The sequence below is a fragment of the Homo sapiens genome, chromosome 14 (genome assembly GCF_000001405.40).
Source record: "Homo sapiens chromosome 14, GRCh38.p14 Primary Assembly".
Classification (NCBI taxonomy): Eukaryota; Metazoa; Chordata; class Mammalia; order Primates; family Hominidae; genus Homo; species Homo sapiens.
The window spans coordinates 68,885,673-68,910,746 of record NC_000014.9 but is presented as its reverse complement, the minus strand read 5'-3'; the positions used below and the strand labels follow the sequence as shown (position 1 = coordinate 68,910,746).

General features: G+C 51.7%; 1 protein-coding gene and 1 pseudogene across 24 annotated transcripts in view, besides 1 other annotated feature; both read left to right on the top strand.

The window, feature by feature from the left end:
• ACTN1 (actinin alpha 1) overlaps positions 1 to 25,074 on the top strand; it is a 105,175-nt gene that overhangs the window by 68,556 nt on the left and 11,545 nt on the right. For 23 of the 24 annotated variants that reach the window (NM_001424029.1, NM_001424027.1, NM_001424025.1 and 20 more), the window contains 7 exons: positions 705 to 792; positions 1,351 to 1,429; positions 6,011 to 6,092; positions 8,185 to 8,270; positions 17,000 to 17,092; positions 18,464 to 18,694; positions 20,461 to 20,608. In NM_001424029.1, the coding sequence (NP_001410958.1) occupies positions 705 to 792; positions 1,351 to 1,429; positions 6,011 to 6,092; positions 8,185 to 8,270; positions 17,000 to 17,092; positions 18,464 to 18,694; positions 20,461 to 20,608 (807 nt within the window). Of the gene's footprint in view, positions 1 to 704; positions 793 to 1,350; positions 1,430 to 6,010; positions 6,093 to 8,184; positions 8,271 to 9,800; positions 9,886 to 16,999; positions 17,093 to 18,463; positions 18,695 to 20,460; positions 20,609 to 25,074 lie in introns of all 24 variants that reach the window. The other variant, NM_001424030.1, reaches the window with a different exon arrangement.
• Positions 19,733 to 20,233: an enhancer, noted in NCBI's record as "H3K4me1 hESC enhancer chr14:69357231-69357731 (GRCh37/hg19 assembly coordinates)". NCBI's record gives its function as "activates a minimal SCP1, AML or CMV promoter by ChIP-STARR-seq in naive H9 embryonic stem cells {active_cell/tissue: H9 hESC(naive)}" and the evidence as "EXISTENCE:reporter gene assay evidence [ECO:0000049][PMID:30033119]".
• Positions 22,564 to 23,765, top strand: HMGN1P3 (high mobility group nucleosome binding domain 1 pseudogene 3; annotated as a pseudogene).

Here is a 25,074-nt window from a genome sequence, read left to right as displayed (position 1 = left end):
CACCGTCTCTCTCCCACAACACGTGGGAATTATGGGAGCTACAATTCAAGATGAGATTTGGGCGGGGACACAGCACAAACCTAGCAGGGGGGTAGTGTGGTTTGCAGTCTTTCTTCTGTGCTGGGAGCTCCGTGAGCCCCCTCAGTTGCCTGCCTAACCTCATAGACACGTGGCTGCTTCACACACAGAGGGCAGCAGTATTGATCCGTGCAGTAAATATAAGGAAACCTTATTTTTTAGATTAAAAACAAAATCTGTCTAGGAGTCCTAATGCTTTCTTCTCACTCAGCTGTGTGCACCCCTCAGGCTGTGGGATTCCCCTGTCTGGAGACCCCTAGATGTGTAGATTTCCCAGATCAAATCTTCCTCCCCAACCTGATAGAGGTTGCCGACTTATTTTGTATCATTACCATTTCTTTGAATAAAAGAGAGTAGGGGGAGCTAATTCTTGAAGTTTGAAAAACTGTTGTCTCAAAATTTACACGTGTAACACGACTAGCTCTGAACAGCTTCCCAGCTTGCTTTTTCTGTTTCTCAAATAACTTCTCAAACTCTGTCAAGGGAATAGACTTGATGGCCAGGGCTCCTCCTTCAGTAGCTGCAGGGTTGGCATCAAAGGGTCACAGTGGGGCCTCCTGTGAGCCGGCATCCCTCCCTCCACCGAGTCAGCCCTCTGACCTCGCTGCCCATCCCCTTCCCCATAGAGACTTCAGCCAAGGAAGGGCTGCTCCTGTGGTGTCAGAGAAAGACAGCCCCTTACAAAAATGTCAACATCCAGAACTTCCACATAAGGTGAGTGCTGGGGTCTGAGGGGCTCTCACAGAACCAGGCTGCCTCCCCCGGGAGCTCCCAGACCCCCTTGGCTGGGTCAGTCTCAGCTTTAGAACAAAGTGGAGACCTCTGGGGGAAGAAGTAGCTTTCCTTGGGAAGGGGATGTCGCCATCGCTCTGAATCCCCCCGTCTCTCTCCCTGCAGTGTCTTAGATGGGGCTGCTGCCTGATATAACTTTGGTTGATGCTTTTGCTACTGGGAGCGCCCCCAAGGAAATTGTCCAGGAAGTCCCAGCCCAGGGCTCTGGAACAGCAGACTAGGGCCATAGGCCTTGGTCGGGGGTAGGGCTGGATATGGCAGGTTTATCTGAACTTGTCAACCCCCCCACAAAGTCTTGACCCTAGTGCCTGGGATTTGTGGCAGGAAGAAATGTCCCTTCCCATCCTGTCTTCTAACTCCTACCCCAGAAAGCTCTATGTGTTCATCTCTCTGGTGTCTAGGAGGCCCCTGCTTTGCCCTGGTTGCCCGTTTGTTCAGCCTCATTTACCAGCCTGCTCCTTCTTCTCTCTCCCCGGGCAGCTGGAAGGATGGCCTCGGCTTCTGTGCTTTGATCCACCGACACCGGCCCGAGCTGATTGACTACGGGAAGCTGCGGAAGGTATGTGTGCCCACCTGACCACCCGCTTTGGGTCCCTGGCAGGTGGGGTGGGAAAAGAGCAGGACTAGGACCCTTGTTGTGACAGTCCATGGTCCAGCCTGAGCAGTGTTGGCCTCTTAGAATAGCCAGACAGAGCCCCAACTGAAAGTGAAGAGAAAACACCTTCCCTGTTAGGGCAACTTCATTACCCTTGTGCGTGGTGTGTGTGTACTTGCACACATACACAGCCCATCAGGAAAATATCACAGCTGTGACAGCAGCTTTGTCAGAGGGATGGAATGATACATGGTGTTTCTCCCTTCTGTTTTTCCGGGATTTGTAAAGAGGAGACACTATTTTCATCATTGAAAACAGTGCATATTCTAAGGGACAGTTCATCCCCGCCTTGTCCTTTGACCTGCTGTGCGGTCCTGGGCAGCTTATCCCACCCATGGATTTGGTTTCCTTTATTGCTCAAGTTTGGCTGGGGGATTTTCTTTTGGTTTCACTCCCGCCTTCAGCATGAAGCTGCAGTGATTTTTCTTGAGTGGGTGTGTGGAGTGGGGACAGATGCAGGAGTGGGAGCTGTGTTTCTAGCCTCATGGTGGTTCTCAATGTCTGAGCTGGTTGGACGACACTGCCCTGGACCTTGGAGAAGCCTGTCCTGGACCCTCTGACCACACTCTCCAGGTTCCCTCCTGGACCCTCTGACCACACTCTCCAGGTTCCCTCTTGGTCCATCTTGGTGCCAAGAGGCCACATGGCATGGCCATCCAAGGAAAGACCCTTCCCACGCCCCAAGTTGGTGACCTGGAGTTGGGGTTGGAATGTCGCCTATCTGTGCTCAGATCTCTTGGCAAGGGAGGCTTCAAGGAGCGGCTGGACTTGTGTGTCTCTACTTCACCTTGATGCTGGAGAACACAGTGTTCAGTGTAGCTCTTGCCTTGCCTGGGCCTCCAGGAAGGGCGTCTTGCTTCTCAGTGGCCAGGAGAGGTTTAATATCACTGGGGCAGGAGCTGCTGTGCAACTCATGGTGGTGGCAGGCCCTTTGTTTCGGGCGGGTGGATAGCAAGCTGCCAAAAAGGATCTTGAGGGAGGAAAGGAGCAGATGCCTACCCGCTTCCCTGCACCGTGCCCCGCCCCACCCCCACCCCATACACACTGCCCCGTCACCTGAAGCTTGAGGCTGAGGCCTCTGCCCACTGGAAGGGCCCATCTGCTGAAGGAGAGGAGCCACAGCAGGGGCCAGCCCTTCGCCAGCTAACCTCCTGGGGGAAGAGGATCCTTGGCCCACCTCCTCAGCTGCTTTGCAAGGAAAAAAAAAAAAAGAGAACCTTCCTGTCCTGCTGGAAAGTTGTGTGGCCAAATCAAACGTGGCCAAGGGGGAATATTCTACAGGTGGCAGTTTTTTCTTTTGAAGGCATCACCACTTCCTATTCAGCTGATGGGCTTTGGTGACAGGTGTGCACCTATCTCTGTCCCTGCTTGGGTATGCTGGGGTGTCAGTGGCCAGTTCATCCACAGCTGTTGGACATCCCCACTAAAGGGGTCTGTGCCGACCGTGGCTCTAGAGCCCCCTCCCTTATTCTGAAGGATTTGGAAGCATCAGCCATTTGGGAGGTGAAAGTCCAGGGGTTCTTTCTGATACCCAGTTAGCACTCTCCCACGCACTATCCCTCTCTGTCTTTTTATTTATCTCTGCCAGTTTCTCCCTGTTTTGCTGTCTCTGCCTCTCCTTCTGTGTTTTTTTGTTTTTGTTTTTGTTTTGTTTTTTGAGACAGAGTTTCACTATTGTTGCCCAGGCTGGAGTGCAATGGCGTGATCTCCACTCACTGCAACCTCCGCCTCCTGGGTTCAGGCAATTCTCCTGCCTCAGCCTCCTCAGTAGCTGGGATTACAGGCGCACGCCAGCACGCCTGGCTAATTTTTGTATTTTTAGTGGAGACGGGATTTCACCATGTTGGTCAGGCTGGTCTTGAACTGCTGACCTCAGGTGATCCACCCGCCTTGGCCTCCCAAAGTGCTGGGATTACAGGCGTGACCCACCATGCCCAGCTTTTTTTTTTTTTTTTTTTTTTTAAGAGAGTCTTGCTGTGTCGCCCAGGCTGGAGTGCAGTGGCGTGATCTTGGCTCACTGCAACCTCCGCCTCCCAGGTTCAAGCGATTCTCCTGCCTCAGCCTCCTGAGTAGCTGGGATAACAGGCACCCAGGCTAATTTTTGTATTTTTAGTAGAGACAGGATTTCACCATGTTGGCCAGGCTGGTCTCGAACTCCTGACCTCAGGTGATTCGCTCACCTTGGCCTCCCAAAGTGCTGGGATTACAGGCATGAGCCACCGCGCCCAGCCCCCCTTCTGTTTTTTAATTGTAATTTTTTTGTAGAGATGAAGTCTCACTATATTGCCGAGGCTGGTCTCGAACTTCTGGCCTCAATGTGACCCTCCTGCCTCAGCCTCCCAAGTAGCTGGGATTACAGGAACAGCCACCACACCTGGCTTCCACTCCTTTTAATTCAGTATCATCATCAGTAAAATCCAGCCCAAATCCTAGCACACACCTGAGCCCAGTGAACCAGGAACACCCTTCCAGAGAACAAGGAGGTTGTGAGACCAACTGGTGCCGAAGAATAGGGACAGAGGGCTGAGGGGCTCCGACTGGGAAGCTCTTCCTTCCTGCAGCAGCCATGGGTGGGCATGGGGCCCTGGGGTCCCTGGAACTCACGTGGGGCGGGTGTGTGTATACCTGGACCTGAGCACTGGCAGCTGCTGCTCCAGGCCCTGGATGAGAATGACCTTGACTACTCGGCAGTGTTCATCCTCCTGGCTGCTGTTGGAGACTTTCCCAGAGGGACCCCACCTTCTCTGTTTAGAGCAATTTCCTCCTGAAAACATCCTGGATGATGTATTTATCTTTGTGTTACCCTATACTTCTCCCTTTAGCAAACAGGGAAACTGAGTCCTGGGCCGACACAACCAGCTTGCTTTAGGTTAGTCTGGGGAACCAAGAATAGAGGAGAAGGGCCCAGCCAGAAACTCTTCCACTAAGGTTTTTTATCCTCTGCATTAAAAACTTATACAATAACTGGTACAATATACAAAACAAAATTTACCACTTTAACCATTTTTAAATACACTTACTGTTCAGGGGTATTCCGTACACTCACATTATTGTACAACTGTTCCTACCATCCATCTTCAGAACTCTTTTCTTGCAAAACTGAAAGTCTGTACCCATTAAACGGTAGTTCCCCGTTCTTTCCTGCCCCCCCGGCCTCTGGCTGCTACCATTCTGCTTTCTGTCTGGGAACCTCATAACAGTGAAGCCATATGGTGTTTGCTGTTTTTTTTTTTTTTTTTGAGACGAGGTCTTGCTCTGTTGCCCAGGCTGGAGTGCAGCAGCGCGATCTTGGCTCATTGCAACCTCTGCCTCCCGGGTTCAAGCAATTCTCCTGTCCCAGCCTCCCGAGTAGCTGGGACGTGCCACCACACCCAGCTAATTTTTGTATTTTTAGCAGACACGGGGTGTCACCACGTTGGTCACGCTAGTCATGAACTCCTGACCTCAAACAATCCATCTGCCTCGGCCTCCCAAAGTACTGGGATTACACACGTGAGCCACTGCACCCGGCCTGTGTCCTTTTGTGTCTGGCTTATTTCACTGAGCATAACATTCTAAGAGTTCATCCATGTTGCAGCATGTGTCAGAAATTCCCTCTTGTTGAGGCTGAATAATATTCCATTGTATGTATCACCACGTTTTGCTCATCCGTTCATCCATCAATGGGTACTTGGGTTGCTTCCACCTCTTGGCTACTGTGAATAATGCTGCTATGAACAATGGAGGTATAAAGATCTCTTTGAGAACCTGCTTTCAATTCTTTTGAGTATCTCCCCGCAAGTGGAATTGTAGGACCATGTAATACCATGTTGAATTTTTTGAGGAACCACCATCCTATTCTCACAGCATTTGACATTCCACCTACGTTTATGTTGCATTCATCGCACAAGGATTACAGCTTCTCAACATCCTTGCCAAGCCCCGCTAAGTGTTCTTGCGAAGGTAGCAGAAGCCAGAATAGTCCAAAGCTGTGGCTATTTAAAGGAGCCCCCAAATTTCATGAAATGTGAGCACCAGAGGGGCTCCTGCTCCGAATCTTGACTAGTCTAGAGTTTAGAGCTCCCTACCCCAACTCTTGAGTTATGGATGGAGAAGCTGAGGTCAGGTTAGCTACCCACGAGTCCCACTGGTTGAGGGCAGAGCTGAAACCAGAAGCCAGGATGGATGGTGACTAGGCCAGTGCCCTGCCCTTGGCACACGTTTCTTAGGAACTCCTTCCTACCCCCGACTCAGGCTGCAGACTACTTCGCCCCATTTTCCTGACAATCTGAAGCTTGAAGGGGGAAAGAGAATGCTTTAAACCTCCAACCAGTGAGCCCCAGTGGTGAGACCAGCCTTCCACATCTGGAGCTGTCCCCTGAGGATCGAGCTGGGGCTGGGAGAAAGTCGCTCTGCTCCCCAGTTTGGGTGGCCACCCAATTGGGAGTAGCCAGTGACTTGTGGTGGCTCTCACTTTATCATCCCTTCCTCCTTTTCTCCCTCTAGGATGATCCACTCACAAATCTGAATACGGCTTTTGACGTGGCAGAGAAGTACCTGGACATCCCCAAGATGCTGGATGCCGAAGGTGAAAGGCGCTTTCCTTCTGTGTCTCTTGCCCATCGCCCACCTGCCACTCAGCGGCTAAGAAGGGGTGGACCCCAGCAGTCCGGGGCTGGACGGGAGGAGGCCTGGTCTTCTGGGACCGCATTTGAGGAGCATGGGGATCACAGCCTCTTGGGGATTCTTCCATCGTTCTTTGAGCTTTGGAGAGAGAGGTGTTAGTTGATTCTGCAAAGGTCTTAGGGGCTGTTCTTGCATCGACTGCCTGAGGATGGTTCTTGTCTTTGCCTTGGAGTCAGGATAGCGGGTGCTGGGGTGTGGGGAAATGTGCCCTTGTTGTCCGGCACAGTTTGGGATGGGAAGTTTCCCTTGCTGAGAGGTGCACTGTCCTCACCCTCTGAGCCCTGGGTGGTCTCTGGACAGCTGAGCTTAGCATCTCCTCTATGCCCCAGCTCTGACTGGGGCTGGCTGGGCATGGTGTTTTTCTCATCTGTAACCCTGGCTTCCTTCTAGCATCTTCTGAGGAGGGTGCTAGAGAACTATGGCTTGGACTTTCTCAGTGGTGGAAGTGTCCAGTTCTGATCTGTCTGGGAAGATCCCAGCCAGAGGCAGTGGCTCCATGTTGGGTAGGGAAGGAAGGAGGGGGCCCAAGTTGAGTGTTGACTTTTCTGTTCCTCACCAAGGCCTTGCTGTCCCAGATGCTGCTAGCCAGGATGCCTGGATGGGGACAGGTTCAGGGTTCGACACTAGAACATCCTTACCAAAGATTGGGCCTGGGGCTGGAAACCCAGCTCTTCCTGGCTGCTGACCTTACCATTGCCCCTCTCCCTGTGTAGAGCGTCTCGGATGGGGTGAGCAGGGGCTGTGGGGGGAAGGGAAGCATCTGGGAGCATAGGGGTCTGTGGGCTTATGAAGCCAGGGCTGGCAGCTCCAGGCTGGGGTCAGGCTGGGTCTTGTCCCACCTCCGCGCTTGCCCCTTGGGAGGAGCCTGACTCACCACAGCCCCTTCCCTGTGTGCTCTCCTTGGCCCCAACTGCTCAGTGCTGAAGGGCTAGAAAGGGGTTATGGAGACAGGAAAAGACCACGGTGGGGTCCAGACTGTTCCCTGCCCCTCTGCCCCACCAGTGGCTTTTTTTTTTTTTTGAGACGGGGTCTCCCTGTGTCACCCAGGCTGGAGTGCTGTGGTGCGATCTCCGCTCACTGCAACCTCCGCCTCCTGGGTTCAAGCGATTCTCTTGCCTCAGCCTCCCAAGTAGCTGGGATTACAGGCACCCACCACCGGCTAATTTTTATATTTTTAGTAGAGACGGGGTTTCACCAAGTTGGCAAGGCTGGTCTCGAACTCCTGGCCTCAAGTGATCCACCTGCCTTGGCCTCCCAAAGCCACCAGTAGCTTTTAAAATTTCAAAATGTCATGAGGAAAATTTTCAAACGCATAAAAACCCAGGCAAAAGCAGAAAGAATAGCACGATGACCTTTCCTATTTCCATCATCCAGATAGAATGGCTACTGAGGTCTTGCCACACTTTGTGTTTTTCTTGTTTTCTTTGTTGAAGTATCTTAAAGCAATTCTGAGATATCACATCATTTTACCACTGCATACTTCCGAATACATCCTTAAAAATAGAGTTATTTTCTTAGTCAATGATAAAGTTATCACATTTAGCAAATTGATAATTCCATGTGATACCCAGTTCATAATGAAATTTCCCTAATTACCTATGACATTTCTTTGAGGGTTGGTTTGTTTTAATCAGAATCCAAACAAGGTCCATACTGGCATTCGGTTGTGTTTCTGACAGCTTTTCCCATCTCTAGTACTTCTCTCCTCCCTTTGACCCCTTTTATTCCTGCCAATGAACTTGCTGCAGAAATGGGGCCGCTGTCCTGTAGCAAGTTCCTTATACTGGGTTTGTCCGCCTCCTTTGGGGCTTCATTTCACCTGTTCCTCTACTTACATTCCCATAAGCGCAAGTTGACGCCAGAGGCTGGTTAGATTCGGGCTCCACATTTTGGCAAGAAGACTTGGTGGTGCTGCGAGCTTCTTTCTGCCTCACGTCGGGGGTGTATGGTGTTCTTGGAACCAGCTGGCTTTAACTCCAGATTTTTCTTGACAGACATCGTTGGAACTGCCCGACCGGATGAGAAAGCCATCATGACTTACGTGTCTAGCTTCTACCACGCCTTCTCTGGAGCCCAGAAGGTACCCGGGGCCCCCTGCTCCTTCCATGCCCAGCACACCTCCTGCTGGACCCCAAACCATGTCCTCCTGCCCGCCTCCACCTCTCCTGGTGACAGGTATCTGGATGGTCTGGTCTCTCGGACAGAGGCAGTCCCTAGTTCTGAAGTGGCGTGTTGTTCTTACCTGGCTCCCGTCCCACCCCACACCTCTCTCTCTCATCTTCTACTGTTAACAAGAAAATTGGGCAGCAGCTCACTTTCTGGGACCCAGATGACTGGCTTAAGCAGGAAGGGCTGTGTGCATGAGGCAGCCGGGGTGGTTCTGGAAGGCTACTGAAAGGTGAACAGGAGCAGCCCTTCCATGCCCACGTCTGTTGAAGCCACTGGCTCGATAGAGCAGCTGGAGCTCCCTTAGAAGGGCAATGCTGGGAGACACCTCCAGTCTTCACTTACCCACTTGGCAAAGGCATCATAAAGCCCCACCTTTGTCCTGCTCATGGGCATGACTTAGCAGATCTGTCCTCAGCCCCTTGGGCTCTAGTGCCTTCTCCTGTATCCTGCCTGGGACTCCCATGCGGCCATGCTGCACTCTGTGTTCTCAGACATAAGCAGAACCTCTGGGAGGAAGGGAGAGGCGGTGGGCAGCTGTGAGCCCCGTCAAGTGTCCTGGCCCAGTTTTGCTCCGGGAGGCCTGAGATTAAAGTTCAGTCGTGCAGGTTCTGCACCACACAGGGGTTCCACGACTAAAGGGCACTGTCCATGCTGTGGACATTGAAGATTTGAACATTTTCATCACCAGGCTTAGGCAGCATACACCCCTCCCCCAGACCTCCCTGGTAGGCAGGACTCCAGAAGAAGCACAACATCACCATGACCACAGAATCTTCACGTCTCATGCAGATCTCCTGCCCTCCACATGGCATCTGAGTGACCGTTTTAAAATGCATGATGAGGCCGGGCTGGTGGCTCACGCCTGTAATCCCAGCACTTTGGGAGGCCAAGGCAGGCGGATCACTTGAGGCCAGGAGTTCGAGACCAGCCTGGCCAACATGGTGAAACCCCGTCTCTACTAAAAATACAAAAATTAGCCGGGTGTGATAGCACCCTCCTGTAATCCCAGCTATTCAGGAGGCTGAGACCAGAGAATCGCTTGAACCCGAGAGGTGGAGGTTGCAGTGAGCCAAGATTGTGCCACTGCACTCCAGCCTGGGTGACAGAGTCAGACTCTGTCTCAAAAAAAAAAAAAAAACAAAACAAAAACAAAACAAAACAAAAAAAAAACAAAAAAAAACCATAAAACAAAAAAAAAATGCATGATGGGAGCCCCTGCCCTCTCCCACCTCTCCTATGCCGTCCCTGCCTCAGACTCTGCTCACCTCCCACCCACTCCCTCCCCTGCTGTTTCATTTTTTCTCTTTCTGCTCATTCCCTCCTTTTCTGTCTGTCCGTCTGTCTTGTGTCCTCTTTCTGTCCACCATGGCTGTTTGGGTTTATTCTGTGCTGCTGCCGCTGCCTACTTTCTCCTCTCAACCTCTTCTCCTTCTCTGTGCAGATGTGTAGGCACGCTAAGGCCGGATGGGAAGGCCGTGTGACCTAATGTTTCATGTCACGGCCACGCCTTCTCGGGTGTGCAGAAGGTGAGCTCTCCCTCGGCCTCCTCCACTCTCCCCTCTTGCCCATCTCTTCCGTCCTCCCTGGACACTCCAGCAGCAGGCCCTGGGATGGAAGGAGGGACTAGAGAAGCCCCTCCTTCTCCTGCAGGGGAACAGGACTCTGAACTTTGGCCAGGACACTTGAAGATGCCAGAGAACCCCAGCCTCTGAATGACCTCCTGTGTCTCTGTCCCTATGCCCTGGGCATAGCGGATACCACAAGCGAGAGAGAAGCTTGTGGTCTCAGCTTCTTCCCTGCACCCCGCATCAAGAGCCCTTATCCCAGGCAGCACAGCTCTTGGCAGTGCTTTCTATTTCCTTAAACATCCAGGACCTCTTCCCTCTCTCTCTCTCCCTCCTTCCTGCTTGAGCAAGGCCACCCTCGCAAATTTAGCCAGCAGCCAGAGCAGGGAGAACTCTTCCTGCCTTCTCCAGGGAGTCCAGACCAGAGCCCTGCCTGATGCTTCTCAACCAGGCTGCCATGGACAGTTGTGCAGGTTGCAGACTACTCACAAGTGCCACGTGTGTGCAGTGGACAATGGAGATTTGAATATTGATTACTAAAGTGATCCTGCAGATGGCAGTGAAAATGTCTTCTAACAAAATCAGTAGGACATTTTCCCAGTAGAAGTGCCCTTGGGGAAGAGGTAAAAAATGATCCAGAGACACCATATGGGCTGGCAGCAGCCCTGTTCCCTGCCTGGTTGGGCACCCAAGACCCTCCGGAACTTCCTTCCAGGGCTCATTGGTGCGGGCCAGAGACAGGAGACCAGCCCCGTCTGGAGGCTGTTTCTCATAGGTATCCCCCGAGCCTGCCCAGCCCCTCTCAGCCCCTCCTCTGGCCTTCCTTCTGCTTCCTCTTTGTCCTTCCCACATCTCCTGCTGCTGTTCCTGTGCCCCTCCCCTGGCCCCTCGCAGCCAGGGTGTGAACAGCTTCTCTCCCTTGCCTTGGTTGGCCTCCTGGCCCAATAGCCACGGGTGTGCACCTGCCCGTGTCCGTGGTCAGGCTGAGCTCTCTGCTATGGTCTTTTCCCCTCTTCCCAAAGCTCCTTCCTTCTCTTCCAGTCTCTCCCCTTCTCCTTCAGGGGTCTGTCCCGGGCTTCATGCCCATTGGTGCTGGCCTTCCCTGTCTCTGAAGCCTTCTCTGTGTCCTGGCTGGTGACAAAGCTTGGAAGGGAATGTGAGATGCGTGTGGGTGTAGTGGGTATGAAGTGGGTGTGTGGTATGTATGGGTATGGGGGGTTCTGAGGAGTGTGTGGTTTGAGGTATGTATGGTGTGTGGGGGATGTGATGGGTGAGATATGGGGTGTGTGTGAGGTGTGTGTGTATGGTATGGATGTGGTGGGTGTGAGGTGTGTATGGGGAGTGTGGTGTGTGTATGTGGAGTGTGGTGTGTAAGGTGTGTGTCTGGGGGGTGTGGGGAATGTGGTGTGGAAGGGTGTAGTGTGTGAGGTGTGTGTATGAGGTGTATGGGGTGTGGGGACTGGTGTGTGTGGTGTGTAGGAGGTGTGAGGGGTGAGGTGCGCTGTGGGTGTGGTGTGCTGTGGGTGTGAGGTGTGTTTGTGGTGTGAGGTGTGGCATGTGGGTGTGTGTGTGAAGGGGAGTGCTGTGTGTGTGGGGTGTGGTGTGTGGTGTGGAGGGGTATAGTGTGCTGTGGGTGTGAGGTGTAGGGTGTGAGGTGTGTGTGTGGTGTGAGGTGTAGGGTGAGGTGTGGGTGTGGTGTGGTTGTGGTGTGGAGGGGTATGGTGTGCTGTGGGTGTGAGGTGTGTGTGTGGTGTGTGAGGTGTGTGTGGTGTGAGGTGTGGCATGTGTGTGTGTGTGGTGTGCTGTGGGTGTGAGGTGTAGGGTGTGTGTGGTGTGAGGTGTGGCGTGTGTGGTGTGTGTGTGTGGAGTGAAGGGGAGTGCTGTGGGTGTGGCATGTGTGAGGGGTGTGTGGGGTGTGTGGAGTGTGTGGGATGTGGATGGCGTGTGGGTGACAGCCTGCTCCCCCTCCCAAATCTCATGCCACCTCCCCATGCCCCCTTCCCTTTCACTCATCCCTGTTGCAACCATTTCACGCTGCTTTTGTCCACACCTGAGGGCAAGGTCACAGCTGGGTTGGTGGTAGTGGTGGTCGTCCTCTCATGTCCTGGTCAGGGGTCTGACCCAGAGTTGCCCCCACCACTTCTAAGGTGACTGCTTTGAGCTGAGCAGGCAGGGGAGGGGAACCCTACCTCGCCTTGTGTGGTGGGGCTGATGGAGGAGAAGGACTCTTGCTGACTCACACACTCCTGTCTTGTCTGTCTCCGGGCTGGCACCGATGAGGAAAGTCTTCCAAAACCCGTGCCCAGTGCCCTCCATCCTCTCCACTGTCTTTCTGTCGCCCAACCTTGTATGGTGGAATGAAAAGGCAACAGCGCCTAATGTGTGTGTGCACGTGTGGTGCACAGCTCGTGTGCCTGTACAGGCACGTGCTGTATAATAAGTCTGTGTACTGATTTCCCTCATTAGATGAGGACCAACTGCTGTTTGACAGGTGGGTTTTGGTTCTAATTCTTTCTCTGCTTCCCTCTCCCCTCCTCTTCCCTTACAGGGACTTAGAATGGATGGAGAGCATTAAGATTTTGTTTATGTAGCTTGTGTTTTAGAGTTCATGGTCTGCTGTTTCTGAGAAAGAACACTTGAAGGCTTGGACTCGATCTGAGAGAAATTCATGAGCCATCTGGGAAAACCTAAAAAAAGGAGCCGGCAGTGGCTGCGGTCTGACCAGTGCCCTGCTCTGCCCCAGATCTGAGCAGGGCAGGTGCAGTCACAAGACTGCCGGCCACCAAGGTTTTCTTGAGCAGCAGAAACTTGAACATGAGGTCTGTGGGGGGAAGGCTTAGCAAGGCCTTGGGAAGGGGCAGACAGTGTTGTGGAGGGAGGTGACCACAGCTTGTGCAAGAAGCTTCGGGGTATGCAGGCGGAGCCTGCAGTAGGAGAGGAAGCTGGCAAGGTGTGGGCTGCCTGAGGAAAGGGGCCAGTTTCCCTCTGCCTGGTCACCCACCCTGGCCCACTCACCGTGAGGAAGCTCGGATGCCTGGTCTGAGATCTCTGCTGATCTGGGGCTCTCTTAGTAGGAACCCTGGGCTTGGTGGCTGACTCCGGACAGAGGGAAAGACTGGGCAGTGGACAGCTGTGGGAAGAAGAAAAAAGCAGGTCCAGCTAGATTTGGGAACATTTTGGCTACAGATGACATAGATGAGATCCTCGTGGCATTCATGTGAATCTGTGGGTTGTGGGTGGTGGAGCCACAGCACATCATCTGGCCACGTTTGGGTGTTTTGATGTCACCTTGAGGACAGTTCCTCTCTAGACTGTGCCTGTATCAGGCAATTGGATGCTGATTATTAGGGTAGCAGTTTGGCTTGGGATAGCTAAGTACTCCAGGGATAATAATAGTTCATATCTTTTAAAAAATAACTCCAGGGATAATAATAGTTCATATCTTTTAAAAAATAACTCTTGAATATACAACAAAGTGTATATGTTAAGTTGTATAATAGCGCAGCTTAAAGTAGGTCATAAAAAAACATGAAAATTCAGGTTGGGCGCAGAGGCTCACACCTGTAATCCCAGCACTTTGGGAGTTGAGGCTGGTGGATCACCTGAGGTCAGGAATTTGAGACCAGCTTGGCCAACACCGTGAAATCCCATCTCTACTGAAAATACAGAAATTAGCCAGACATAGTGGCGCATGCACCTGTAATCCCAGCTACTCGGGAGGCTGAGGCAGGAGGATGGCTTGAACCTTGGAGGCAGAGGTTGCAGTGAGCCGAGATTGTGCCATCGCACTCCAGCCTGGGTGACAGAGCAAGATTCTGTCTCAAAAAACAAAAAAACAAACAAAACAACCATGAAAATACAAACTAAGGGAAAGGAAACACAGATTTCTAGTAGTCTTCTCCTTTGGCACTTGGAAGCAACATTTTGCTCATTTCCAGAGAATATTTTCTGAAGCCATCAATTATCTGTTACATCTGTTACATTATCTCATGAAGCCATCAATTATCTGTGCATCTGTTACATTATCTCATGTCAGGGCACCTGGTTCTTCTTGCTGGGGCCAGAGCAGCCCATCTCCTCTTCAGGAATAGCCTGAAGCCAGGTCTCTCCCGGGGTTCTCTTCTGAAGTTGCTTCTGAAGCTGCTTCAGTTCCTGAGGTTCTCAGGGAAGGAATCTTTCCTCCCCTAGAACACATCTCTCCTTTGAACTTCTGGACTAAAGGGTTGTCTTTGAGATTCTTTATGTACTTGGTGGTTCTGGGTGCCTCTCTCCTAGATCCCTCAGAGTTCATGGGGTTCTTGTAGCTGTGAGAGGAAAAAGCTAGAAAACCAGGAGTTTGCGGTGATGGGGAAGGCCTGTCACCCCCAGCGGCCTTTCCTTCTGCTCCCGGGATCGTGTCCCGTGGGCCTAAGCCTGGCCTTCCCAGCTGACCTCATCTTACTTCTCAGGCTGAGGCTGGTGGGTGATGAAGCCGCCTTCATCAAGGGACCACGTGGAAGCAGGTCCAACTCACCACCCAGTGGGCTTCTCTGTGGTGCATCCTGCCTGTAGGGGGAGTCAGGCTGCGAGAGAAAGGGAGAGGATGAGGTTCTGAGGATTCTGCCGTAGTTTTTTTAGAAAAATCAAATCTGGACTTCAGGAACCTGCTTCCTGAAGGTAATGTAGGAGCTGGGCTGTCTCTCAAGGGAACCCGGTGGAGTCTGCAGCCTGGCCTGCCATACAGAAAGCACTCTTGTGTCTCCCGTGGTACTTGTGTGTTATTTCTGAAGGCTGGTTCACTGGTTATAATGGATGGTATTCTCAGTCAGTCTCCTTCTGGAGAGGCCATCCTGGGAGCAGGTGGCTGAGACTCTGGCTTGGGAATGCGGTTGGATCTTTGTGGAAAGTCCCCAGGAGGCCCACCCGGAATCTCCCCCAGACTTCATCCAGAAGGGAGCCCTTTTGACCCTGACTCTGGAGTAGTCAGCAGGCTCTTGGGGATGGGCGAGGCTCTTGAGGTCCCATAGGACACATGTAAAATCCCACAAATGCAGACCTTAGTCCACCAGTTTGATAAATTGGCACACATCAGATTTTATGACCATCGAGCCGATGGATCAGGAGAGTAACAAGGTGAAGGTGGCTTTATCCATGAAAATCACAGCCGCAGTTGCTTCGTGCCAGTTATGAGTAGCTGCCAAGGGGTTTCAGCTGTTTGAGTGGCACATCTCTGGCATAGTCTTCCGGGGTGGCACATCCTCACAAAAACATCAGCCTGGAGGAGGACACGCGGGTCTCTCTGCAGCCCCCTGCCCCAGCCTTGAAGGGAAGTAGTCTGGGGCTTCCGGCAAGCTGCTCCCCAGTCAGTCCCATGAGGCTGCTGGCCTGGTTCCCATGGCCCCACTTGCTTTCTGGGGCTCCAGGTCTCCTAGACAGGCTCCAGGAAAAGCATTTCCCTCTTCGTTGCTTCTTGGGATTCCCCGTGGGTGCTTGTTGGTTCTCGAGAGAGATGGCGATCAGTCAGGAGTTGTGGGTGAGAAGCAGTCATGGCATCTCCAGGACAGGGTTGAGTTGGGGTCAGGGGGTGAGGGCCTAAGGATGTGACTCCCTGTCTCAGTTTCTTGAGGCCCAGGACTCAAAGTCCCCACCTCAGGGGACTCTTAGACCACCCTCTGGCCATTCCCACCTTCTCCTTATTGGTTCTCCCAACCCATTCTGACACCTTGCTCTGCAGGTCATGCCTCCCTTGACCTCCTTGACTGTGTTTCTGACAAGGCCTTTAGGATGATCTCATTCTGCCCCTTACCCCCTGCCCCACACACCCCAGCATAGTCATCCATCCACAAAGCACATGATTTGGTGGGCGGATTCGAGAAGTTCTTCAAGGAAAAAACATTTCCGTCTTCCATCTTAGTCATTCCTTCCAATTCTAAGCACGTTCATTCTCAGGAAGCTCTTCCTTACAACCAGCCTCAGTTCATCTTGCTGCAGTTGAAACCTGTTTTGTCTTGTTCATCAACCAGTTGTGAGGTCCTGTCTTTCAACCTGTTAATCCAGGGATCATTTTTCATCTGCAGGGCACCCTTCTCCAGGGTCTCAGGATGCATGTCTGTCTTCTCACAGATATCATCTTCTCCCACCCCCAGGCTGTCTTCCTTTCTACCCTCTGGCCCCCAAAAGGCTTTGAGTTCACTTCCCCCTTGGTGTAGGGTTGGAATGTATGCAAGAACACAGCTGGATTTTAAAACCACCTATTTGAAGTGGACTCAGGAATGCTGGGTCCCTGCTGGTGTTAGGGGTACAGTAGCCCCCACAGCTGCAGAAGGCGCTCTCCCACTAAGGTTTCTTAGTCTTTGCCTGGGATTGCCATTCAGTCCCCTTTCCTTCCCTTTGCTGCTGAGGCCATCTTGGGTCCCTGCTAGCCCAGCACGCAGCGCATGATGTGTGCTTAGCTGTCTGGAAGAGGCCTGTGCTGGGTTTGCTGGGCATTGAGCCCATACTTGGTTGATCCGGAAGTCTGGACTTGGGTGCAGTAGAATGTCCGTCAGTTTTCTCTAAAGTGCTTCAGGCTTTGGGCCAAGAGCCTTGGGAGATTCTGCAGGGATCCCAAGAGGTCCCATGATTTCTCAGTCAGCACTTTATCCCAGGACTCCCGGATTTGAATTCCCACATCTCCAAGACCCTGGAAAATCCAGCCAGAGGTCCTAAGCCTTGCAGTTCCAGTGCCTCCACTTGGAATTCCAGGATGGGCATGAATTTTCTCACCTCTCCACCTGACCTGAGTATTTTGATTATATCAGTCATTGGATTAGTTTCTTCCCAACCTGCAGGTTGGGCCTTAAACTCAGGCTGTTCTCCAGGGGCCCAGTTCAGCCACCAAGACCTCTGTCCAGGCTCACTTGACCCATGGGACCTGGCCATGGGCTGGCAAGGAGGATGGTAAGGAGAGAGGAGGAATGTGACCTCACAGCCTTCTTAACTCCCTTCCAACCACAGGGAGCTGCAGGGATGGGAGGGGCTTTGTCAGCACAGGTGTGTACCAGGTGCCCCTGCTGCTGGGGCTGGCTGGTCGTGACTCTCTCTGTCTTGTTGCCAGGCGGAGACAGCAGCCAATCGCATCTGCAAGGTGTTGGCCGTCAACCAGGAGAACGAGCAGCTTATGGAAGACTACGAGAAGCTGGCCAGTGATGTGGGTACCCCCGGGTTCACCTGGCCTGACTCTAGCAAGAGTCAGTCCCCTAGAACGTGTACCTCCAAGTCTTTCCTTGGAGCATAGTCTCAGGCTTGTATAGTCTCTGATCCCAATACTGCTAGTCCAGGGCAGCCTGAGCTCTGTTGTGGCTCTCCCAGAAAGTAGTGAGGTGGGGGCAGAGGCCAGTCCCTGAGTTATCATGAGCCTAGGATATCCCTTTGCCTCTCAGAGTCTTCTTGTTTTTTTCACTTGTCAAGTGAGAGTTGAGCCAGGGGATGTCAAAGCCTTTCCAGCCTAGTGTACTCTTAGTCTGTGAGTTTTGCTTCAGTGAGAAAAGGAGCACATCTGGTTCTAAGAGGGTGAGGGTAGGGTTTTCGGTAAATTAGTGCCGGCTCAGGCTAGCATAACAGCTACCAAAAGTAGCGGCTGTCCCCTACTGTTCAGGGAACAGGATGGCACAGTGCTGGGTTTCCTGTTCTGCCATTGGCTACATTTAGGTTAAGCCTCCTCTTCTTGAAAGAATTCAGCCCGTTGAGCTGCTCAGCCCAGCCTCTTGGTGGATCTGCTGCCCAGCATAGTAAGAACGCAGGTTCTGGAGCCCAAGTGCCTGGGTTTAAATTTCTGCCATTCCAGCCAGGTCACCTTGGCAAGTTACAGGACCTGGTAGGGCCTCGGTTGTCTCCTCTGTAACATGCAGGTGATCACAGCCCTTAGCTTTGTAGTGTTTCTGTGGTGATTCAGATGAGTCCATGTGTGTGATGTGCCTGGCCCCCTGCAGGTGTTCAGTGTATTCCTATTGTCATGTGCACCCCTCCACCTTCTCCACCACCATCACCTTGGCCCAAGGAAAACAGTCCAGGCCGTGCCTGCTTGTGCTCCAGGCCAGCTCTCTGCCCAGAAGCCAGCCTCTTCCCTTTTAAGTCAGAGACCCACATTCTAGATTCTTAGGAAGTCAGATGGCAAGAACTTCTGGAAATAGCTGTTAACCCCCTCCATGGTATAGATGAGGAAACTGAGGCCCAGCCAGTTAGAACCTGGTACTAAAACCCAGGCTTCCTTCCTGCCTTTTAGTTGCACTAACTTCACACCAGGTCTATGGGTCTTCCCTTAGCAAAGCAGGGAGGTTGAGTGACGTGACTGTGAGTCGATGTACCCTAGTAGCCAGGCTTCACGAAGCCTGTGGTTCTCAGAGGGAACACCCTGGAAGCTGACTTCATGGCCTGGGAATGTCAGTGGTTGGGAAGGAGTGTGCTATTAGGAGAGACCCCTTCCCCATGTGGGAGGGCTGTTGGGAGGAAAGGGAGGCTGGCCCTAGCACACTCCCTCCCCGCCTCCTCACCTCCTGCCCCCACCGCCTTCCCACCCTAGCTGTTGGAGTGGATCCGCCGCACAATCCCGTGGCTGGAGAACCGGGTGCCCGAGAACACCATGCATGCCATGCAACAGAAGCTGGAGGACTTCCGGGACTACCGGCGCCTGCACAAGCCGCCCAAGGTGCAGGAGAAGTGCCAGCTGGAGATCAACTTCAACACGCTGCAGACCAAGCTGCGGCTCAGCAACCGGCCTGCCTTCATGCCCTCTGAGGGCAGGATGGTCTCGGTGAGCACTGGGGGTGAGCCTGGGCCCCCAGACTGGACTGCCTCCACCTCTGAGCTGCTCCTAGTTGTGGTCAAATTCAGCTTTATGGGGGTGCGGATGGGCGTGTTTGCTTCTACCTACATACACTGCTCCAGAAGTCACTTCCCCCTTCCAGTTACCACCCAGGCTCAATCCCAAACTCGGCCATGTGGGGCAGCCCCCTCTGCCCAGACCATTCTGGGTCAGGCTTGCCCTTCCAGACCCCTGAGCATCTACTCCAGACCTCCCTCTCACAAAAAATCATCCCTATGAACACAATGCTTTTGACACCCTGAACCAAACAGGGCATAATTGAATCGCAGTCAAGTTGATTTCTACTTCCATGGAATCTTAAGTAGTTAAAAAATATTATTATTGAAGTAATAGTTTTGTGGGTTTTTTTGGGTAGTATATTTCAAAGATACAAATAAGCAAAATACAGAACATGGAAATTACTGAAAATCTTACTACCCAGTATCAACTTTAAAAAAAATGATTTTAATCCTTTTGGTTTTTTCGTGTAAATATTTGAGGGAATCCTAAAGTATATGTATTTGAAATTAAACATTTTTTCCCGGTTTCTGTACTCAAGTGTCCCCTGACAGATAACTAAAGCCTGTTTTATATAATAAGCTGCTTTAGGAAAACCCCCAATCTTACATTATATTCTGACCAGCTTTCCATGTCATAAAATACTCTTCTTTTAGGTTATTTTTGTTATTCATCCTTCTTGACCCTGTCCCCACAACTTAGGGAAAAATTTCATAAGCCAGAGAAACACACAGAAGAAAATGTAAGAAATTTGCCATGACGCAGCTTTTTGTCCTTAAGTGAAAAGTAACAGGAGTGTCATGGGCACATGACAGGTCTAGAAGGGGAGGGTGAAAGGCAGACAGCATCGTGGGGAGACGGCAGCCCAGGGGGTCATGGAGGGAGAATACATTGCAAGTGGGTATGCAGTTTGGAAAATTGCAGTCATTTCGGGGCTCCAAGGCTGAATCAGTAGCTTTTAGGTGGCCAGAGCCACTGCTAGCCTAAGGGTGCTCTATGAGAATTAGACAAAGTACCCTTTCTGGGGGACAGATGTAGCTTGGCCTGGGGACATGTGGGGAGGGTGGCTTGCAGGGTGCAGCCCCAGTGACTGTCCAGCTGGGCACTGTTGCACAAACTGGAGGCATGGCCCTGTCTGAAGGGGCGTGTGGGTTTGCACTCAGCATCTGTCCTCCCAGAATTCTGGCCGGCTCACCCAGGCCGGGGTCTCTGTAGGCTCCAGGTTATTGCCCAGAGGCCTGAGTCCATGAATGGATCCAGGACAGTGGGGAGGCTGGGCAGCTCCAGTGCCTGCTTGCCTCATTGCACATTGTTGGTCTGTTTACCTCGGGGGCCCTTTGCCTTAGCACATGTGTGACCTCTGTGATCGGTTAGAGTCCTGCGGGAAACCAGTCCTAGTCAGGGAGAGTCTGGGGCCCTTTCCCCACAGGGCTCTGTTCTCAAAGTCCCATAGCTGGGTGACCAATGTAGATGCAGGTCCCATGCCTTGCCCAGGAGGCCTGGCTCCTGGGAGCCCAGAAAATACCAGTGGGAGATGGGAGGTATGGTGGGGCAGCCTGGCTAGGGTGGATATGGGGCAGAGATAGGGAAGAGGCTCTTCCTGGAAGGCATGGGGCACCTTCAGGGGTCTAGGGGGCTAGGGGACCTGAAGCCTAGGCCCAAGCCAGACCCTGACCCTGTACCTCCCATCCCCACAGGACATCAACAATGCCTGGGGCTGCCTGGAGCAGGTGGAGAAGGGCTATGAGGAGTGGTTGCTGAATGAGATCCGGAGGCTGGAGCGACTGGACCACCTGGCAGAGAAGTTCCGGCAGAAGGCCTCCATCCACGAGGCCTGGACTGACGGTGAGGCCAGCCCAGCCTCCTGCCTCCCCCCAGGGCTTCACTTCCCTACTCTTCAGCCCAGCCAGCAGCCACTATGCTATTCTTTGCTTTTCATTTGTTTCATTTGGTCTCTTACTAGTTCCATGGCTTTAGGCAAGTTCATTAGCCTTCTGGTCGCCTCAGCTTCCTCATCTGTAAAGTGGGAATAATAATAGTACCAACCTCACAGGCTTGTAAGAATTGAATCAGTTAATACATAACGAAGTTCTGAGGAGAGTTCCTGCATAGTGCAGTGCTGTGTGAGTGTTCACTTTGCAGTCAAATCCTCTACCCCGAGTGTTCACTTTGTTTTTTAGTTTTATGGGGGTTTTTTTTTGAGATGGAATTGTGTTCTTGTTGCCAGGATCGAATGCAATGGTGAAATCTCAGCTCACTGCAACCTCCACTTCGTGGGTTCAAGTGATTCTCCTGCCCTAGCCTCCCTAGTAGCTGGGACTACAGGTGCCTGCCACCATTCCCAGCTGATTTTTGTATTTTTAGTTTCACCATGTTGGTCGGGCTGGTTTTGAACTCCTGATCTCAGGTGATCCATCTGCTTCTGCCTCCTGAAGTGTTGGGATTACAGGCGTGAGCCACTGTGCCCAGCCGTATAATGTCATCTTAAGGAATTATGTCTGCAAAGAGCCTGTTTCCAAATAAGGTTCTATCTTGAGGTTCTGGGTTGACATGAGTTTTATGGGGGACCCCATTCAACCTAATTCAGTCTCCTCATGGGTTGTTGTGAGGCTTAAATATTATAGTACATTGCATGCTTGTGGTTTTCATCTCTTCAGCTCTTTTTCCTCTATTTCCTGGCCTCCAATTACAGTGAACCAGCCTTTGCCTTAGCACATGTGTGTCCCTGTTGCTCCAACCTTGAGGCTCTTGGGGGCGTGTCTGGTGTCTGCTTATTGGCAGCTAAGGTGAACTCTGAAGAGAGAGGATCATACCTAGGATAGTATTTTCCCCAGAACCTGGACCAGGGCTGGAGGTGGGGAACAGGCTGCCTATCTGCTGGGGCCCCTCCGGCCATTTCAGCTGGAGCGTGGGACAGACCTATTGGCCGGCGGAGCTCAATGCCCTAAGACTCCCCCAGTCAGCCCTGTTTTGTACTCCTCAGATCTTAGGTTGGAGATGAGAAGGAAGAACCATACCCCAAGGCCATTTGGGAGTGGCTTGGCTTGGTGTAGGGCAGCGGTCCCCAGCCTTGTTGGTACCGGGGACCAGTTTCGTGGAAGACAGTTTTTCCATGCAGTGGGGAGGAGGCAGATGCTTTCAGGATGACTGTTCTACTTCAGATCATCAGGCATTAGATTCTCATAAGGAGCACACAACCTAGATCCCTCGCATGCGCAGTTCACAATAGGATTTGAGCTCCTGTGAGAATCCAGTGCCGCCCCTGACACAACAGGAGGCGGAGCTCAGGTGGTAATGCTCTCCCACCTGCTGGCTCACCTCCTGCTATTTAGCCCAGTTCCTAACAGGCCACGGACCAGTACCAGTCTATGGCCCAGGGGGTGGGGACCCCTGGTGTAGGGGATGGGAGTGTGCTTGACTGGCTAAGGGGGGTTGGCTCTAGTTCCCCTTTGTAAGTACAAATGCTGGGCTTTGCACACAATGGTAAGAGGTTGCTGCCCCCACATCCACTGTGCGTGTATGGAGTTATTTATCCAGACGTGACGGGCAGAGTGGAGGAGGCACAGTGGGGATTGCACTGATTCATCACATGCTTCTGTCGGGTCCAGCTCACAGCCAAGGTACAAAGCAAAGATTGACCTCGTTGCCTTGCCAGCCACCAGCAGGGGCATGAGAAGTGCTGGCATGCTGGCACAGCCTCTGGGGAAAGCAGTTTGGCCACATGTATTCAGTTCTACCAATTTTACTACACTCTGACCTGGGAATTCCATTTCTTGAGACTGTCTAAAGAATCTATCCTGGGCGTGAGGAGTGGCAGCGGCCAGGCAGCACAGTTTCGCAAAGGCTGTCAGCATGCCGCGGCCCGCAGACACCTGGCACGCGCCCTCCCTGCCGCCAGGATGCCCAAGGGGAAGGTCAGCTCTGCTGAAGGAGCCGCCAAGGAAAAGCCCAAGAGGAGATCGGCGCGGTTGTCAGTTAAACCTCCTGCAAAAGTGGAAGCGAAGCCGAAAAACGCAGCAGTGAAGGATAAATCTTCAGACAAAAAAGTGCAAACAAAAGGGAAAAAGGGAGCAAAGGGAAAACAGGCCGAAGTGGCTAACTAAGAAACTAAAGATTTACCTGCAGAAAACGGGGAAATGAAAAGTGAGGAGAGTCCAGCCTCTGATGAAGCAGGAGAGAAAGAAGCCGAGTCTGATTAATACCATATACCATGTCTTATCAGTGGTCCCTGTCTCCCTTCTTGTACAATCCAGAGGAATATTTTTTATCAACTATTTTGTAAATGCAAGCTTTTTAGTAGCTCTAGAAACATTTTTAAGAAGGAGGGTATCCCACCTCATCCCATTTTTTAAGTGTAAATGCTTTTTTTTAAGAGGTGAAATCATTTGCTGATTGTTTATTTTTTGGTACAACCAGAAAATAGTGTGGGATATTGAATTATGGGAGGCTTTGACTGTCTCGGGTGTCAGCTTAACATTCCATAGATGGGGGGGTTAGTTTTTATATCCTATAATACAAAGCATATTAAATGGCAATATGGAGTCAGTCCTGCATTTAATATCTTGAACATTTTAAATTACTTCTGTTGCCATGTTGTTTTTTTAGTAGAATTGTTTCCTAAAGAAAACCACTCTTTGATCATGGCTCTCCCTGTCAGAATTGTGCACTCTGTAACATCTTTGGTTGTGGTAGTCCTGTTTTCCTAATAACTTTGTCACTGTGCTGTGAAAGATTACAAATTTGAATATGTAGTGTACGTGCTATTCAGTTGTGAACTGGTGGGCCGTATGTGACAGCTGACCAACATGTGAAAATACTGGTACTTGATAGCCTCTTAAGGAAAATTTGCTTCCCGATTTTAAGCTGGAAAGTCACTGGAATAACTTTAAAAAAGAATTACACTACATGGCTTTTTAGAATTTCATTACGTATGTTAAGAATTGTGTACAAATTGAAACGTCTGTACTGATCTTCAACCAATAAAATCTCAATTATTAAAATACAAAAAAAAAAATCCATCCTGAACATGGAGACATCCACACTAGGGCAAGCTGAGGGCCCAGCAACTCACAGTAGGGCAGTGAAGGGTTAGGGGAGTGGACGTGCAGCCTTTCTGCAGACGTCTACATGAGAAGACTATGGAGCCAGGGCAGAAATTCCAATAATGTGCCGCCAATTTTTTTTTTTTTTTGAAACGGAGTCTCGCTCTGTCACCAGGCTGGAGTGCAGTGGCATGATCTTGGCTCACTGCAACCTCTGACTCCCTGGTTCAAGCGATTCTCCTGCCTCAGCCTCCCAAGTAGCTGGGATTACAGGCATGCGCCACCACGCCCAGCTAATTTTTGTATTTTTAGTAGACATGGGGTTTCACCATGTTGGCCAGGATGGTCTCGATCTCCTGATGACCTCGTGATCTGCCCGCCTCGGCCTCCCAAAGTGCTGGGATTACAGGCGTGAGCCACCGTGCCCGGCCCATGTGCTGCTAAATATTTTAAAAGCAGGAAACATAATTTATATATGCCCAAAGAATATCCACATAAGGAAAGACTGAATAGGAGTGGATAAGTAGGCTTACCTGTAATTTTTTTCCTAAGCTTTATATATTACCATTCTGTTTTAAAGAAGAAAGAGTAGGGGGAAGGAAAGAAATGCCACCTGGGGACACAACCTTGGCTCCCAGCCCAGCCTTATTTATTGAGATGGGCCGAGCATACCAGCAGCAGAGGGTTGGGTATGTGAGTGAGGGAGGCTGGGCCAGCCCCCATCCTGTGCCTGTCAACTTCACAAGGCAGCTGGTGAGCGTCGTCTAACAATGGCCCTGGGAGGTCATTTCTTGTTCCTGCTTTCCTCCTGTGGAAACAAATTTAAGAAACGCAAGACCTGCTTGTGCCCTGTAGATAGAGGGCAGTGTGTCTGAGGGTCAGAGAAGGCGCTAGCCACTGTCGGGTTCTGTGCAGAGTGCACTGGACACACTGACCGAGGGAAGGGGCCCCTGCAGGGCTGCCGGCAGCCAGTGACGGTAACTGGGGACATTCTAAAGGCAGGGTACTCCTGAGGTGCTTGGGTTGTTTTTTTCCTGGTTATACCAGAGGGTGTGGATGGCTGTGTTTCCCGCTGTGTGTATAGCGTCATGCCCTATGCATTCCCACAGACTCCTGCATAGCCTTCCTGCGTAGACACTTTCATGGCCTTGGAAGTGCTCTGAGGAGAGTGCTTTTCCCCGTTGCGCCGGTTGGTGGATGTTCTAGTTGCACATCTGCTTTTGCACCCTGCAGATCCCTGCACAATGGGCACCTCCTTGAGAAGCACCC